Raw genomic sequence first — 15,942 nt, forward strand, 5'->3', positions numbered from 1 at the left:
GCCACATACCCAGAAGATCTGTATGCACCTGATGTGGGAGGAAGCAGCTCTGGTCCATAGTCCTTCACTAGCTGGAGGTGCGGCCCTTCCTCGCCCTGGGCTTGGTCTCATATGTGTAAAGTAGAGGATTGGGCTGCAGCGGGGCTCTCAACCTTGGCATCATAGACATCTGACTGGATGAGCCTTTGCTATGGGGCTGAGCTGTGCACTGTAGGATGCTCGGCTGCATCCCTAGATGCCAGCAGCACCCTCCAGGGGTGACAACCAAAAATGTCTTCAGATATTGCCAAAAGCCTCCTGCTTGGGAACCACTGGGCTAGAAAAGGTATTCAACTTGTTTTAATTTTAGCTGGGACAAACTTCTTTCTAAGGAATCTCATGCAGACACACATGACATGAATAAACACGGTGCAGCTGTGGGAAGTTGGGGGCTAGACCAGCTCCTCACCCCACTTTCTACTCCACACACATCCTGGAGAAGGCTGGGGCAGGGAATTTTGAAACAGGTAACTCCAGCACCTCTAAGCTCCCGCCCAGCTCCAACACCACTTGGTGCCAATCAAAGGATCCTGCCTGAGATCTCCCCGCCCCACTCCCAGCTCTCCGTCAGTGTCTGTGTGGCACTGAGCAAGGCTGCGCCTCTCTCTGGGCTGTTTCCATCTATACAGTGCGGGTGCTGGGTATTCAATGAACAAATGAAGAGATGAAACTCTACTATGTAAAGTTTATAAAACACTATGTGCCAAAGTATATTTCTACATACATCATCTGATTTACTCATCATAATCCTATGAGATATGTATTATTTTCTCAAAGCATATCAGATATATTTCTAGATTTTATCTACAAACATGCAGGCATATACATGCTTTTAAAATTTCTATGAAGTGCCTTCCATGGCCTCAACATTCTGTCTGACATAAGTCAGTGTGATATTGAAAAGAAAGACTGACAGACAAATGTCTCTGGCCATGGCATGATACAGACATGAGTCCATCTCAGCTGTAGACCTTCCTGGCTGTGAGACCTTTTCTTTGAGACATGGTCTTGTTCTTTCACTCGAACTGGAGTACAGTGACATGAACATGGCTCATGCAGCCTTGACCTCCTCGGCTCAAGCAATCCTCCCACCTCAGCCTCCTGTGTAGCTCGGACTACATGCACACATCACCACATCTGGCGAATTTTTGTATTTTTTGTACAGACAGGGTTTCACAATGTTGCCCAGGCAGGCCTCAAACTCCTGAGCTCAGGCAATCCACCTCCTTGGCCTCCCAAAGTGCTGGAATTACAGGAGTAATTCCAAGTCTAGGCATGGGGGATATGGTGGTGGCAGGCACCTATAATCCCAGCTACTTGGGAGGCTGAGGCAGGAGAATCGCTTGAACCAGGGAGGTGAAGGTTGCAGGTGCCCAGCCCTGGCTGTGAGACCTTAAACACACCCTGGAAGTCTCAGAGTCCCACTGGCCTCAGGTGTGAAGTGTGGATATTGTTACCAGCAGCAGGATGGCTGCAAGGTGAGGCAAGGTTTGGTAAATGAAAGTGTGCACACTCTGCTGTGGGAACAGAATTGGGCTTCCTGGTACTGTCCGTTCTCCCAGTGACCCAGGCCCACGATGACAGACGGATCAATGGAAGCACCCCACCAGCGCACCTGTGGCCTGGGAAAGAACACCTTTGCCAGCTGCTGTGTGCACCATAAGCCTCTGGGGATGGCCACACAGATTTGCTCTGCTGCCCTTACCTGACAATTCAACAGCAGAGACAAAGGGACTGTGCAAAGACACAACACTGACTTACTTGTAAGTTGCTTGCAGTTCTCAGGCTTGGGACCAGGAGGGTCTAATCCTGGGCCCTGAGGGGTAGTAACTTCATGTGGGTGGGGACTGGCAGAGGGGATGTCTCCAGCAAGGAAGCCTAGCAAGCAGTCATTCATGGAAAGGGCAGGCTGAACACCACCCCTCTGACCCTCGCTTAGAGGAGGGTGGGTACTTTGGGGCAAATTCCTTACTCTCTGAATCTCAGTTTAATTTTCTATAAAATGGGGACAATCACGGTGTATTAGGGTTTTCTAGAGGGACAGAACAAATATATATATATTTTTTTCAAAGGGGGAGTTTATTAACTAACAACAAGATCACAAGGTCCCACAATAGGCCATCTGCAGGCTGAGAAGCAAGGAGAGCCAGTCCAGGTTCCAAAACTGAGGAACCTGGAGTTCAGTGTTCCAGGGCAGGGAGCATCCAGCATGGGAGAAAGATGGAGGCTAAGAGGCTGGGCCAGTCTCTCCTTCCACATTTTTCTGCCTGCTTATATTCTAGCTGTGCTGGCAGCTGATTAGATGGTGCCCACCTAGATTAAGGGTGGGTCTGCCTTTCCCAGCCCACTGACTCAAAAGTTAATCTCCTTTGGCAACACCCTCAGACACACCCAGGATCAATACTTTGTATCCTTCAGTCCAATCAAGTTGAGGGTATTAACCATCACACACGGCCACTGTGAAAAGTTGTTTTAAGTATTAAAATCCTCCCAGGTGCTTCCCAGAGCATTTCCAAAGGAAATGGGGATTCTTTGATCAAACAACTATGTGGAAAAAAGTGCAGAGTTAAACCAAGTGAAGCAAGTTCCTTTACAGTGGGTTTTCTTGAAGGCTTACTCATGCCCTTGTTGATGATTCTCCATGAGGCCCTGGCCTACCAGACCCTTTTCAAGGGCATGGAAGGACCTGCTGTGGCTCAGAGCCCAGAGCCCAGAGCCCATGCAGGGAGAGGGACTGCTGCTTCTCAGAGCCTCATCTAGGGTAAAACTGGGTCCAAGACAAAATGAACAAGGGCTGTTCATTCTTAAACTTGTGATGGAGACCAGGCTGCCATTGCTTTCATTTCAGCAGAGGGTTCGAAGATGTTAGTTGGAGAATCAACCTTATTTCTAGGGTTAAAAGAGGAAACACTGAGACAGTCTCAGACTGGCAAGTGTTGTATTTAGGGGTGATTTTTGGAAGGCGGGAGACATGCTCATTCCAGGATACCTGTCCATCCTTGGCTGGATACAAAGGGGCAGACAAGTGGTTTGGGAATATTTCATGAGAGAAAGGATTGTTCAATGGGAAGGATAGGGGATTTCTGTCATCAGTTGTTTCTTGGGAAAAGTGGGGGCCACTGGTTTACTTTTGTGGGTTAAACTATCACAAGCATCTTCCTTGGAGCATGCTGTCACGGCAGGTGCTTTCTCAGCCTCCAGTTACACATCAGCAAAATGAGGAGCCACCTCCCCTCCCCTTGAGCCACTTCCCCATTTGGCAGTTCTGGAATTTAAATTTTAAAATCTGAGATTGAAAGAGGTAACCAGTACAGGAGGAGGTGATTTCTACCCGATTAAACACACATGCATGTTTAATAATGGCAGAACCAACAGTCAGAGTAGAGTAATATTAATCATAGTGTATTAATGTGATAGTACAGATGTTGCTGAGGATAGTTTATCTATTATTACAAGGCGCCAGGCACTGAGCACTTTACATCCATCACTGCATTCAACGCCTCCCCACAACAGTTCTATGAAAGAGACAGAATCATCATCTCCATTTCAGTGTTTATGAAACAAAGTCACAGACAGCTGATTAGCTCTAATCTAATCAGCTGATTAGATTAGATTTAATCTGCCCAAAGTTACAGTGCTTATAGAAGAGCCAGACTCCAGGCCCTAGAGTGTGCTTCCGAACATCTTCACAACACTTAATAGTGTCCGAACTCACATCAGTTCCCTGGTTGTGGGGCAGCCCTATAAGCTAAGCGTTGCTATCCTCACCCTACCTTCGGGCACACTGGGGCACAGGGCAGGTGCATGACTTTCTCATGGCTACCAGGGAGTCTACATGGCAGAGTGAGGCAGGTTGGGGTAGTTCACACTTTAGCATCCAGCCTTAGCTCTCCCTCTCCAGGGATTCTGCCCTTCCTCTTCAGCCTCCACCAGCCCTGCTCCCCTGGGGATACTGAAAGGAACACTCATTTGACTGCCTCAGAGGCGGAGAAGCTCTGCGTGGAGCCAGGAGACGGTGGTGAGCAATAAAGTGGGCTCAGCTCCCAACACAGCCTGTGTCTCCAAGGTCCATGCTCCAACCCCTACCTGCCTCTTGCACTAACCTGGGCAAATGATGATGTCCATTTCCAGGGACACCAGTCCATGAGACACATCCCTACAACCCTAGGAATCAATGATAGATTTTCCTATAGCAGGCAGCATCACAAAAGGATGAGGACTTCCTCTGAGGGCATGCGCTAGATAGTGCCTCCCTCCAGAATCAGGCCGCTGGGGGTGACTCGCCTGAGATGTTGGTCACCCACTTACGATGGCACGCCCTCGAATGACCAGTCTGTCTTCTGGCTCTGGTGGGTTGGGCAACCCTGCAGCTGAACGCAGAGGCAGGGATGTCTTGATGGGATGGGCTCCTTTCTCAGGAATAAAGGAGGGGGCAGCAGGACACCTTGGCCTCTCCTCCCAGCTGCCAGTTTTCTAGCGTTGTTGGTTCTTTCAAATAGATGCCCAGTAGATGTCTGTGTGAATTTCTCTCGTCCACAAGATGGGAGCTCTGTGAGATGTGGAGCAGGACTTAAGCACCTCTGCATTCCCAGTGTCTGGCTTGACATAGTGTCCACACTGCCCTGTGTGCTTCAATTCTTTCTAGAGCCCTGTGGGCTTGTAAGGGAATGGAAGACTCCTACTTTAAAATTAGTCTTGTGTAAGCCCCAGAGACAAGGTGAACAGCGGGTGTGGTAGAGAGGTAATGGTCCTTAGAGCCAACGAGCCACAGCTTCACACTGTCCACCTCCCACTCTCCCTGCCTCCCCATCACTAAGTACTGATGACTTTGGACAAATTGTCGAAGTGCTCTGAGTCTTGGTCTTCATTTGTAAATAGGGATCGTCAACCTAACTTCAGAATTGGTCTTCCCAAGGACATGGAAAACTAGGCGTGTTGGTTTTAGATGGCTGAGGTAGTAGAAGAAAGTCCCTTCAGCTTTGTTCAGGGATGTGGCCACCCTTACTGTGTATTCTAAGAAGAGAACTAGAGGTCTCTGTAGAAGTGAATATGTTCTGAGTCAGAGACGGTAACATCTCTTTTTGAATCTTTTTTTACATGGTTAAGATAACCAAGTCAGCACTGCAAATACATAGATTTTAAGAAACATCCACCTGCAAGTCATCCTGAGATCCAAGCATTTTACTAGAATGATTCCTGCCCTATGAAAACTTTGCCCCAAGAGAAAGTCAACCTAACTCAAATATTTCATTAGTATTAATATTAGTATCACTGATTCTTAACATTATAAAACATCTTCACCATTCCCTTGTGATAGACCTTCCAAAATTCCCCAGCTGGACTCATCATCAGCTGCCCATAGCATCTTTGAAATGAGAAAGTTAGGCTGGGCACAGTGGCTCACGCTTGTAATCCCAGCACTTTGGGAGGCCAAGGCAGGTGGATCATGAGGTCAGGAGTTTGAGACCATCTCGGCCAACACAGTGAAACCCTGTCTCTACTAAAGATACAAAAATTAGCTGGAAGTGGTGGCAGGCACCTGTAATCCCAGCTACTTGGGAGGCTGAGGCAGGAGAATTGCTTGAACCCAGGAGACGAAGGTTGCAGTGAGCCGAGATCATGCCACTGCACTCCAGCCTGGCAGCCTGGGCGACAGAGCTAGACACCATCCCAAAAAAAGAAAAAGAAGGAAAAGAGAAAGTTATAGCCCTGAGCTGCCTATTCATCTTCCACCAGGAAAGTCATTTAACTTCTATGAGCCTCTCATCCTTTCTAAAGTAGAGGTTTACAGGCTTTCAGATGAGAATTAAATGTGAACATAATTTGCAGACTATGAAGTATTATTGAAATGTGAGCTCTTCCATTGTATCTCTTGATAACTAAGAACACTCATCCAAGTGCATGGGATGGGTCAGGGAGAAGAGTGGGGAAAAGACTAGAGGTTGCCCCCAGATTGATAACGTCAGGCATAGAAAGATCTTTAAAAGAATATGTAAAGCTAAGGATCCACAATAAAGCACAGAAGAAAAAAAAGGAAAAGAAAGGAAAGGGCAGGAAGTAAGCAAAGAAGAGAGAGAAAGAGAAGGGAAAAAAAGCCTAGGCTGGGAGGAGAGGGTCTGATCTGCATGCAGCCTCTGTCTCATGTTAACAGAGCAGAACAGACTCATTCCCCTCCTGTGTCTCAGCTCCTTCACCTGGAAGGGAGATGACACAAGGAGGAGGAGTACCTCTGGCTCAAGATGGCTGGTAAGAGGCCTTGAGAAAATACTTGGGAAATGCTTCGTATACAAAGAAATTCAAAACAAGCATCAGATACTATTATTTTGGGTAAATTACCCAAGCCTCTATTTTCCACCTATAAAAAGAAAATCAACACTCAGGATATAAGAGAATGACAATGGATGAGATTCACTGCAGAAGACAACCAAGGCTCAGAGAAGAGGGGCTTCCCTGTGTTCACAACAGCTGCTGTGACTCAAAATCAGGGCTTGGCTCCAAGTCCAGGCTCTGACCTGTCTTCCACCCCTGCCTCTCCCTCCACCACATACAAACTCACTTCCTCCATGATCTCATTTGGAGGCATATGGGGAGGGGGGCAACCATCTAGCAGGAAATTATCCATCTCCTCTCACCCACTTGTCAGCATCCAGAGCCCCAGGGATCATCCTTTTACCTCATCAAGTAAGACACAGAGAAAGGAGAGAGCAAATATTTCTGCTGCTCTTTTGGCTAATTAAATATCAGGCCCTATTTCTAAATGTTAACAAAAAGATCGTTGCATTGCTAGAGGTGCTGTTACTAATATTCTTCATCCATTTGGTAGGCCCTTTAGTGGGGTCTTAGGAATATGCTGGGCAGTGGTTCTGAAAGCATGGTCACAGGCCAGCTGCATCAACCTCACCTGGGGTTGCGTTAGAAGGGCAACTTCTCAGGCCCCACCCCAGACATACTAAATCAGACATTCTGGGAGTGGGGTCCAGCCTGTTGGCTTAACAAGTCCTCCAGGTGATTTGGAAGTTGTCTCAAGTTTGACAATCATTTGCCAGCATGACAAATGCAGGCTGTGAAGTCTGAAAACATGAACTCAAATCCTGGCTCATCCCCATGAGGAGGTAAAGTCACCTGTGCTTGGTCCCAGGTGAATTTTCATTTTATAGTGAATAGCCTGTAAAACAAGGACAGCAATATTTACCATGAAAGTTAAACTAAATAGCACATGCATGAATCCTAGCAGATAGCAAGTTCTTGTAAATACGAGGTACTATCATGATTCTTTGATGATCTATGAATTATTTTAGGTGAATTTGAAGAAAGGGAAGGTTCTTTATGTTGGCCTCCTGGAACATGCTTTCTAATAACACTCTCTAGGCTTCCTGAGGTTTTAGGAGTTACAGAAGTCCTCCTCAGTGGGGAGGCTGAAGAGCTCTGACATTTTGCTGCTGGTCGCCTCTGGGAATAAGACCTCATTAATGCTGAGGGCGCAGAAGACGTCATTTGGTTTATAAAAAAATGGAACACTATGCTGGTGCAATGGTAATTATGTTTAACGTTTATGAGCACTTTTTACAAACATAAGTCATCTATTTTCATTAGCTCATTTAATCCTTGCAGAAACCCTCCGAGGCAAGTATTATTATAGTTGTTAATTTATGCATGAGGAAAGCAAAGGTTACAGGGCTAAGTAACTGACCCACTGTTACACAGCTGCTAAGTGACCCAGCCAAGTTCTAGATCCAGCCAGTCTGTGACCGGGGTCTGCACCCTGAGCTTCCCCTGCCCTCCCAGTTCAGGAGTCCAGCATTTACCCTTCCCATAAGCGCTCTCACCCTCTTGTATGAAGCCCTTGGTTTTGTGACTGGTCCATTAGACTTGGCAAGCACCTGAGTGTCAGACGGAGCTAGAGGAGAAATGCAGATTCCTATCCCAGCTCTGCCTGAGGCCCTGCAGTGCTGTGAACTTCAGAACTTCCCCAATGTGTCCTTCAGCACCATGGACAGGGCCTGCAGCACCTCTATTTATTCTAACTCTGGGCATTTTGCCCCTAACCTACAAGGCTATTTGAGGGCACATAAGCAGCTAAACTAATTTCCCCTTAAACCCTTTAATTATCGTAAAAATAGAAGGCACTCAACCACAGTTATCCAACTCGATAACCATGAATAATGCACATTAATGCACAGGCTAAGAATAGGAGATGGGGGTGCTGATTAAGCCAGCCATGAACAAAGAGAAAAGGACCCAGAGCTAGAGGCAAATGGCGTCAATATATCTATATCTTAGAAGTTTCACAAATATAAAGACAAATGTATAATTTATATTTTCTGGTTCAGAGGCTCTATAATGCAGTCTTTATATAAAGTAAGCTGATTCCTATAAGGTTTTTGAGGGTCAATAATTCCCAGAAATCAGCATCACATTGAAGGAGGGGCAGGGAACTGACATTGACCAATGCCGTGGTGAAAAATGGGGGATCCCCACTCTTGTGTCTTGTGTCAGGTGGATGCAGGCTTGGCCCCACTTACTAACCAGCTCTGTCACCTTGGCCATGGCCTGCCCTTCTTAAAGGAAGTCTCAGAGGCTGAAGCTCATAAACTGAATAGCCTGGAACATTAAGAGGTCAATAAAAGACTGATGTCATGATTCTTCCCAGTACATGGCACTTCCTTTTCAAAGTCACTATACCATTCCAGATAAAATCACCAGTGCTGGCCAATAAGTTCTGCATGGCTGCTATTGCTAAAACATGCTCATCTTATGCCTTCAGGGAGAACTTAAAAAAATCAAAAGTGTGTGTGCCATCCCTCATTGTGCCAAATATCTCATAGTAGCAGAAACCCCTTGTCTTTTGGGGCTACCATAAACTGGGTAGCTTGTAAACTACAGAAATTTATTTCTCACTGTTCCAGAGGCTGGAAAAGTCCAAGATCAAGGTGCCGTCAGATTTGGTGTCAGGTGAAGGCCTGCTTTTTGGTTCATAGATGGCTGTCTTTTCACGGTAACCTGACATGGTGAAAAGGACAAACGGGCTCTCTGGGATCTCTTTTATAAAGGCCAATCCAGTCATTCATAAAGGCTCCACCCTCATGACCCAATCACCTCCCAAGAGCCCCACCTCCCAATACCATCACCTTGGGGGTTAGGATTTCAACATATGAATTTGGGGAGCACCACTTTCAGACCATGGTTCCCCTGATATGCAGAAGTGTCTTGTGGTTTCCAGAGACCTTTCTTGGTCAACACTCTGGGAGAGAGGCTCCAGGAAGAAAATCCACATGTCGTGGAACTCCCTCTTCATTCCTCCTCCCGCTCTGCAGTCCAATTCTACCTCCAAGCAATCTTCTTATAACTTCAGTTAAAGCCTGCCTTTGAAAAACATTGAAGAAATAACCTGGTTCCGGTGAGAAGAACCCATTATTTAACACTGTGGACAGCACAAGGTGTGTCTGTCTTGTTGGGATAAGGGAAGACCTGGCTTCTCTGTGACTGCAGACCTGACTGTCACCCAAAGGGCCCCCACCCAATGAGAAGCACGACTGAGTAGGAACATACCTTCTTTCCAATGGCTGTGCCCTATCAGTTATACAGTGGTCAGAGTGATTTTTTTTAAAACACCCTACGTCCCTACCCTCCTATTTACTCTTAAGAGTTAATCATTCTCCAAAGCTCGCACCCCCATTTGCTGTCCCTGCCTAGCCCCCCAGCACCATGCTGGGTCCTCAGCTAGTACTTGCTATGATTTCAAGCAAGCCAGAGCTCATTATAAACTATTTTGTCCTCCTATATCCTTTTACAATGAAATCAATCCCATGAATGTGTGGGCATGTTTTTCTAAGCCTCAGTGCCCTTTTCCATGAAATGGGCATAACAATAATGATGTCTTTCACCTGCAATCTATGGGAGGGACAAATAGGACAATGCCCATAGAAATGCCTTGCTTGATGCTGGGCACCTTGATGGTGACTGGATTAGAAGCACCCCTAAGATTTCAGCAGGCAAAGCAGGATGCTGGGCGTGCAAGGAGGAAGAATCAATAACAGGAAGGCAGAGATATCCTGAGCATTACCACGGAAAGATAAACCTAGAATCAGCGGGAGACAAATACTGGGGAAGGGTCCTGTGGGTCCCATCATGTCCAGCAGGATGTGCACACCAAGCACACCGGACTCCATCTGCCAAGTAACACAGAACAGCGTAACTCCAGTGCCAACTTAAGGTCAATTGCAAACTTAAGAGCGCTTGCATTTTCAAACGGGACAGTGTATGTAAACCAAATAAAGACATCTGGAGCAGAGGAATTCCAGGCACCTTGACCTTTCCTCCATTTGGTAATTAGCTTCTTATTTGTTTAGCAAACCACCCCACAAACACCCTCCAATGCCGTGACTTCAGAACTCTCAGGTGGATTTCCTGCACACTTGGCATCCTCTTCAGGATGTGGAGCCAAGGCTCTGAGAAGGCTGCATCCCAGGAAGCTGGAAGAACCTGGACTACCTGTCTGGCTCAGAGACTCACCTTTCACCACATTCATCCCTGTCAGGTTTATGGTGCCAGTAAAATTGAAGAAAACCATAAAAGACAATGAACTGTGTTTCTGTGACCCAAAATTCTATCTACTGCTGAGTCAACGAGCCCAGTAAAATTTAGCTGAGTTTCTTATATTTGCTTGCTGATTTTTTTTTTCTGGTGCACCATACTGTGAAATCTGAGCAGAAAATCCATATGAAGTTTTATTTATTGCCATATGGATTTCTGTGAAAATGCTGAAGACATGACTTTTTGGTGGTGCTTGTTATTGTATTTTCCCCCTTTACCAAATGTTCAGTCCCTAGTTGCTGACCCAAGCATGGCTTTGTGGGACATTTTGCCCCCATTTCATTCCTGGTGGGTGTCAGGGCCCCTGAATATTGTAAGATGTGGTCCAGGCTCCATCAGGTCCATCCTGTCCACTCCAGGAAAGTTGGGTCTCTTCAGGACCCAACACTGTCGCACCTCTAGGCCCTTGTCTAGGCAAATCCCTGCCTGAAAGGCCACCACCACCAATATCCCAACCCAACTCTACCTGCAATATTAATAATAGCTACTGTTCATAAAGAAAGCTAAGACCACTGGCAGGAAATGCATAGCCTCCCGGCTCTGAGACACTGGAGATCTGCCTCAGGTGAGCCTGCTCTCTACTCAGCAACCGATCTGTCTCAGGGTCACCTTCATCTTCTTTCAACTGGCTCCTTTCATGGTAGCAACATGGCTATGGGAATTTCAAGGCTCTCATGCTTACATCCTTGGGCCCAGGGAGAAAAGAGCATCTGTCCTTGTCCTTCTAAGTGAAAGTACTGAGTCCATTCTAATGGGACTAACCAGGAGAATGTGCCTGAACTGATCCTCATACTTGGAGAATGACTCAGACCTGATTCTTGCTCAGTCTTTCTGAAGTTGCTTCATTTACCAGGTCCCTGGCTGTCTCTTCCCGTGGATAAACTCACCAACCCCTCACATCAGCTAATGAGAGTGTGCTGTTGTTGTTCCTGTTATATTCAGTGTATGGGCCAAGGTCACTCCCCTTGTCTAAGCCTCAGTTTCCTTAGCTGCCAAAGAACAGTGATTCAATCAGCTCTGCAGCTTCCCGTCATTTTAGTAACAATCAGTGATTGTGTTTCCTGGGCACATACTAACTGTGTGACCTTGTGCAGGTCACTTGACCTCAGTGCCGTGTTCTCCTCATCCTTGAAATGGGCACAGCATTGCCTTCCCTGAAATATTGTCTTAATGATGGGAGAGTAAGTATGAAATACCCTTAGCAGGATGCCTGGTACATGCAGAAGCCAATGCACATTGCCGCAGTGGTTAATTACAATTCCAAATATATAAAAAGAAACAGCCAGAATAAGAGTATTACCATCCCTGGACTCATCGAGCTCTGGTCTACCCAATACCCTCAAACTCAATCCAACCTATGCGTCAATTACTTTGGAGACAACGGTCAGCTAAGAAGCCAGTTTGTTAAGCCTAGTCTCAATGCATGAGTCACGAGTGGCCTTCTACCCTCTCTAGACGCTATCAATTCCCTCGGCCCACTCTGGTCTCCTCATTTCTGGAGGAGAAGTAGAGACTTCAAGTTACAGAAAAGAGCCCTAGGGGGCAAAGGCTGGGGGTGGGCTGATTCCCTAATCTCAGAGCTGCTGCCTGAAGAGGACTTTATGCATCATCTCATCCCACCTCCTCCATTGTACAGAGGAAGCAGAGTCCCAGAGAGGGAAGTGACTCACTCCAAATCACACAGCTAATATGTGGCGGAATCTAGACTCAGACTTTGCTAAAAATATCAACTGCAGGAAAATGTCAACCAAGGACACAGCCAGAAGTGCCAGCGTCCATTCAGCTGCCTGTCTCTCCTGCCAACATCGAAGATGTGAGGAGGTCTCCATGGCCACAACTATGCCCTCGCGGCATCAGACCCTTGAATGTGATGCTGCAGGTAGGACTCCTGGCACCAGAAGGTGCCTTCAGGTGTGAGGAGAACAGGCATCCAAGGCTGCCCGCTGTGAGCTCACCCCAGAGCCAATGAGGCAGAGATGTCCTGCAGCCCACAGGGAGGAAGGAGGCTTCCGGTCCCTGCCTGGTGACAGGAACACACGCGAAGGACACATTAGTTGAGAGGAAAGGCTGGTCCCAGAGGAACATGGGAAGGAGGTCACAGAGCTGCACGGTATTGCCTGGCAGGTACAACCCAGACCGAGTGTTCTGACCTCCGGACCCCGGAAGTCCCGGATCCTGATTTGGAGGAATCCCCGGGTGCCTTCTTCATACCCTGTGCTCGGCCTCTGCCCACTGGAACCGAGCATGCAAGCAACAATGAAAGTAGCTGCTAGGCTGGGCACGGTGGCTCACGCCTGTAATCTCAACACTTTGGGAGGCTGAGGCAGGCGGATCACCTGAGGTCAAGAGCTCGAGACCATCCTGGCCAACATGGTGAAACTCTGTCTCTACTAAAAATACAAAAATTAGCTGAGCATGGTGATGCACGCCTGTAGTCCCAGCTACTCAGGAGGCTGAGGCAGGAGAATCACTTGAACCCAGGAGGCAGAGGTTGCAGTGAACCAAGATCGTGCCATTGCACTCTAGCCTGGCGACAGAGTGAGACTCCATCTCCAAAAAAAAAAAAAAGGAGCTGCTGAACATGTTGGTGGGAACGCAGATGGTCTCACCACTGTGGAAAACAGTATGGTGGCTCCTCAAAAGAAAGATTAAAAATAGAACTACTGTATGATCTAGCAATTCTGCTTCTGAATATTTATTCAAAAGAGTTAGAATCAGGATCTCACAGAGATGCTCACGTTCCCATGTTCACAGCAGCATAATTCATGATAGCCACGATATGGAAACAACTTAGATGTCCATCAGTGGATGGATGGAAAAAGAAAACATGGTATACTGAATTGCTAGATCATACAGTAGCTCTATTTTTAATACCCAACCGAATGGTATTCAGCCTTTAAAAAGAAGGAAACTCTGTCATTTTTGACAACATGAATGAATCTGGAGGACATTATGCTAACTGAAATAAGCCAGATGCAGGAAGACAAATACTACATAATTCCACATATGAAGTACCTAAAATAGTCAAATTCCTAGAATTAAAGAGTAGAAAAGTAGCTTCCAGGGGTTGGGGGAGAGGAAATGGGGAGATGCCAATTAATGGGCAAAAAATCTCAGTTAAGCAAAACGAATGCATTCTAGGGATCTGCTGTGCCACACCGTGCCTATGATCAACAGTACTGTACTGCACACTTAAAAGTTTGTTAGGAGGGTGGATCTCATGTTGTGAGTGTCCTTACCACAATTAAATGAAACTCATTTAAAAAAAAAAGTGTAAAACAAGAAAGTAGCTACTGAATTTGAGCATTTGGTTCCTGGTGCTGTGCTTTTAAGTCACAGAGAAGTCATGGAAAGCGGCAGGAGATTTTTAGGTCGGGAGATGGAGGCTCAAAACTGATGGCAGAGCCAGAGAGTGGCGGAATGGAGACATGAACTACATCTGCCTGGTCGTACCACTTAAGTTATGCTGTGTGTTGTGCTACACCCAAACTGCTTTTCATTCTTGTGAGGTAGTCAATTTACATGTGTGCCTATGCTTTTAATGGAGGAGCTCATTGTGAAATAAAGAATGACACAAAGAAATGTGAGGGAGAAAATAAACATCCTCATAACTTTTTCACCCACAGACAGCCAGTGGTTAATAATAGGTATTTGTCTCCATCATTAATTTCTCTGTCTCTCCTCTCTCTCTTTCAGACACACACACACACACACACACACACACAGAGCTGGTGTCATATTGTATACACATTTTGCAAGATGCTTTAAAAATGAACAGAATATTGACTGCATTTTCTAGGTCATTAGTTCTTCTCCTAAATGTCATTTTGCATCATCAAATACTGTTGCATTATTGAGGTATACAATAATGTATTTTGCCCACCACACAGCATTGTGTCATTTCTAGTCTCACTTATAAATTACACATGGATATGTACTTGTGCATATCCTTGATTTATCTCCTTAGAGGAGAGCTAGATGTGTAAGAGTGCCTACAGGGAGAGAATGAGCTGGCCACAGGAGAGCTGTTTCTACTGTAACTTAATGGAGTGTTACATGTGTTACATAACCAGCCCTATGCAAGGGACTAATGTGACCCCCTCTGAGCGATGAATGACCTCTCAGGATCCAACAGCACTATGTTTTGAGTCCACGCGTGCCTGTACTCCAGTGAAAGTATCAACGGGCATTTGCACTGTAAAGTCTTGTGGCTGCCTCTCCAAGAAAACGATAATTTTTTGTTTCTTTTTTCTTTCATTTTTTAAATAGCTCGTATGAGTAGAAAATGGCATTTTTAGTGGCTCTCTGCTTTCTATTTATCCTTATAGGCTAACATCTTAAGAGTAATTTCTTCTTTAGGAGGAATCCCATATTTCCCAGGATTGGTCAAGCCTGTGCATATTTTACTGCAGGTAAAAGAAGGTGCAACATGCATAGCTGGGGAGAACATCTTTATTTTTCCCACAAATTCTTCTGATGTCCTTTATTTTACCTCCAATCTTATTGGGGTTTCCTTGTAAATGATGAGTAATTTTTTTCTCTTGCTTGCTACTTTCCTTTTTTTTTTTTTTTTTTTTTTTTTTTTTGGTTTTTGGCATTTTTACTATGATGTTTGTAAGTGTATCTCTTTGTGTTTATCTTAATTGGGACCTGCCCCCAGATTTCCACTTCTCGGGTATAGTTCAAACGTCAACATTTCCAACAGAATATGCCTGGAATTCCCCAAGATATATGTGTCCTACTCAATTCTCAACCACCATTTTACCATTTTCTGTCTCCACCTTCTCTCTTTCTGCTGAGTACAGTACATGCTTCAACCACCCAAGCCATGGAGGACACACATTGAGGCCAGTTACACAGCCCAGGACACCTCTTTTCCCCCACTCGAATTCTTTCCAGGCAACATAACAGTAGCACACACCTCCCCCAAACCTAAGTCCTCTGTCCCATTCCCTTGGAGGAGTGTGATAAAAGGAAGATGCTTACCTTTTCACCCTTTTCCCCTTGGCCAAAAGGTCCTATGCCCTAGAAAAATGAAAGAAGGCAAAGATTCACTACAGAGCATCTCCATGGCATGACATTGCAAATGGCAACATCATCCCGAGATTTGAAAGGATTAGATATTTTCTCATCAGCTCTGCCCAGTAGCCACTAAAAGAAATGGTGACTATTGTTAACTGAGTGTGCATTCTCATGAGTATCATCTCACTTAATGTTTCCAATAACTCAATATTATAGTTACTATTCTTTGTTTCCATAACAGTTTCATTGAAATATAATTTGCATACCATATAATTCACCTACTTAAAA

At 45.8% G+C, this 15,942-nt stretch overlaps 1 protein-coding gene across 13 annotated transcripts in view, besides 2 other annotated features; it reads right to left on the reverse strand.

Moving 5' to 3' along the window:
• COL22A1 (collagen type XXII alpha 1 chain) overlaps positions 1 to 15,942 on the reverse strand; it is a 325,807-nt gene that overhangs the window by 192,966 nt on the left and 116,899 nt on the right. For 11 of the 13 annotated variants that reach the window (XR_001745487.2, XM_017013150.3, XM_011516886.4 and 8 more), the window contains one exon: positions 15,619 to 15,657. The exons of 1 other annotated variant lie outside the window; for it this stretch is intronic. Coding sequence is in view for 10 of the 12 variants with exons in the window: in XM_017013150.3 (XP_016868639.1) it covers positions 15,619 to 15,657 (39 nt within the window). In the remaining 2 variants the exon portion in view is untranslated. Of the gene's footprint in view, positions 1 to 7,161; positions 7,205 to 8,937; positions 9,149 to 15,618; positions 15,658 to 15,942 lie in introns of those variants that run through there. One more of the 13 variants, XM_011516889.3, reaches the window with a different exon arrangement.
• Positions 7,913 to 8,113: a silencer, noted in NCBI's record as "peak7186 fragment used in MPRA reporter construct". NCBI's record gives its function as "represses an SCP1 promoter by STARR-seq MPRAs in K562 erythroleukemia cells {active_cell/tissue: K562}" and the evidence as "EXISTENCE:reporter gene assay evidence [ECO:0000049][PMID:32103011]".
• Positions 12,676 to 13,176: an enhancer, noted in NCBI's record as "H3K4me1 hESC enhancer chr8:139806119-139806619 (GRCh37/hg19 assembly coordinates)". NCBI's record gives its function as "activates a minimal SCP1, AML or CMV promoter by ChIP-STARR-seq in naive H9 embryonic stem cells {active_cell/tissue: H9 hESC(naive)}" and the evidence as "EXISTENCE:reporter gene assay evidence [ECO:0000049][PMID:30033119]".

Source organism: Homo sapiens, chromosome 8, assembly GCF_000001405.40.
Source record: "Homo sapiens chromosome 8, GRCh38.p14 Primary Assembly".
NCBI lineage: Eukaryota > Metazoa > Chordata > Mammalia > Primates > Hominidae > Homo > Homo sapiens.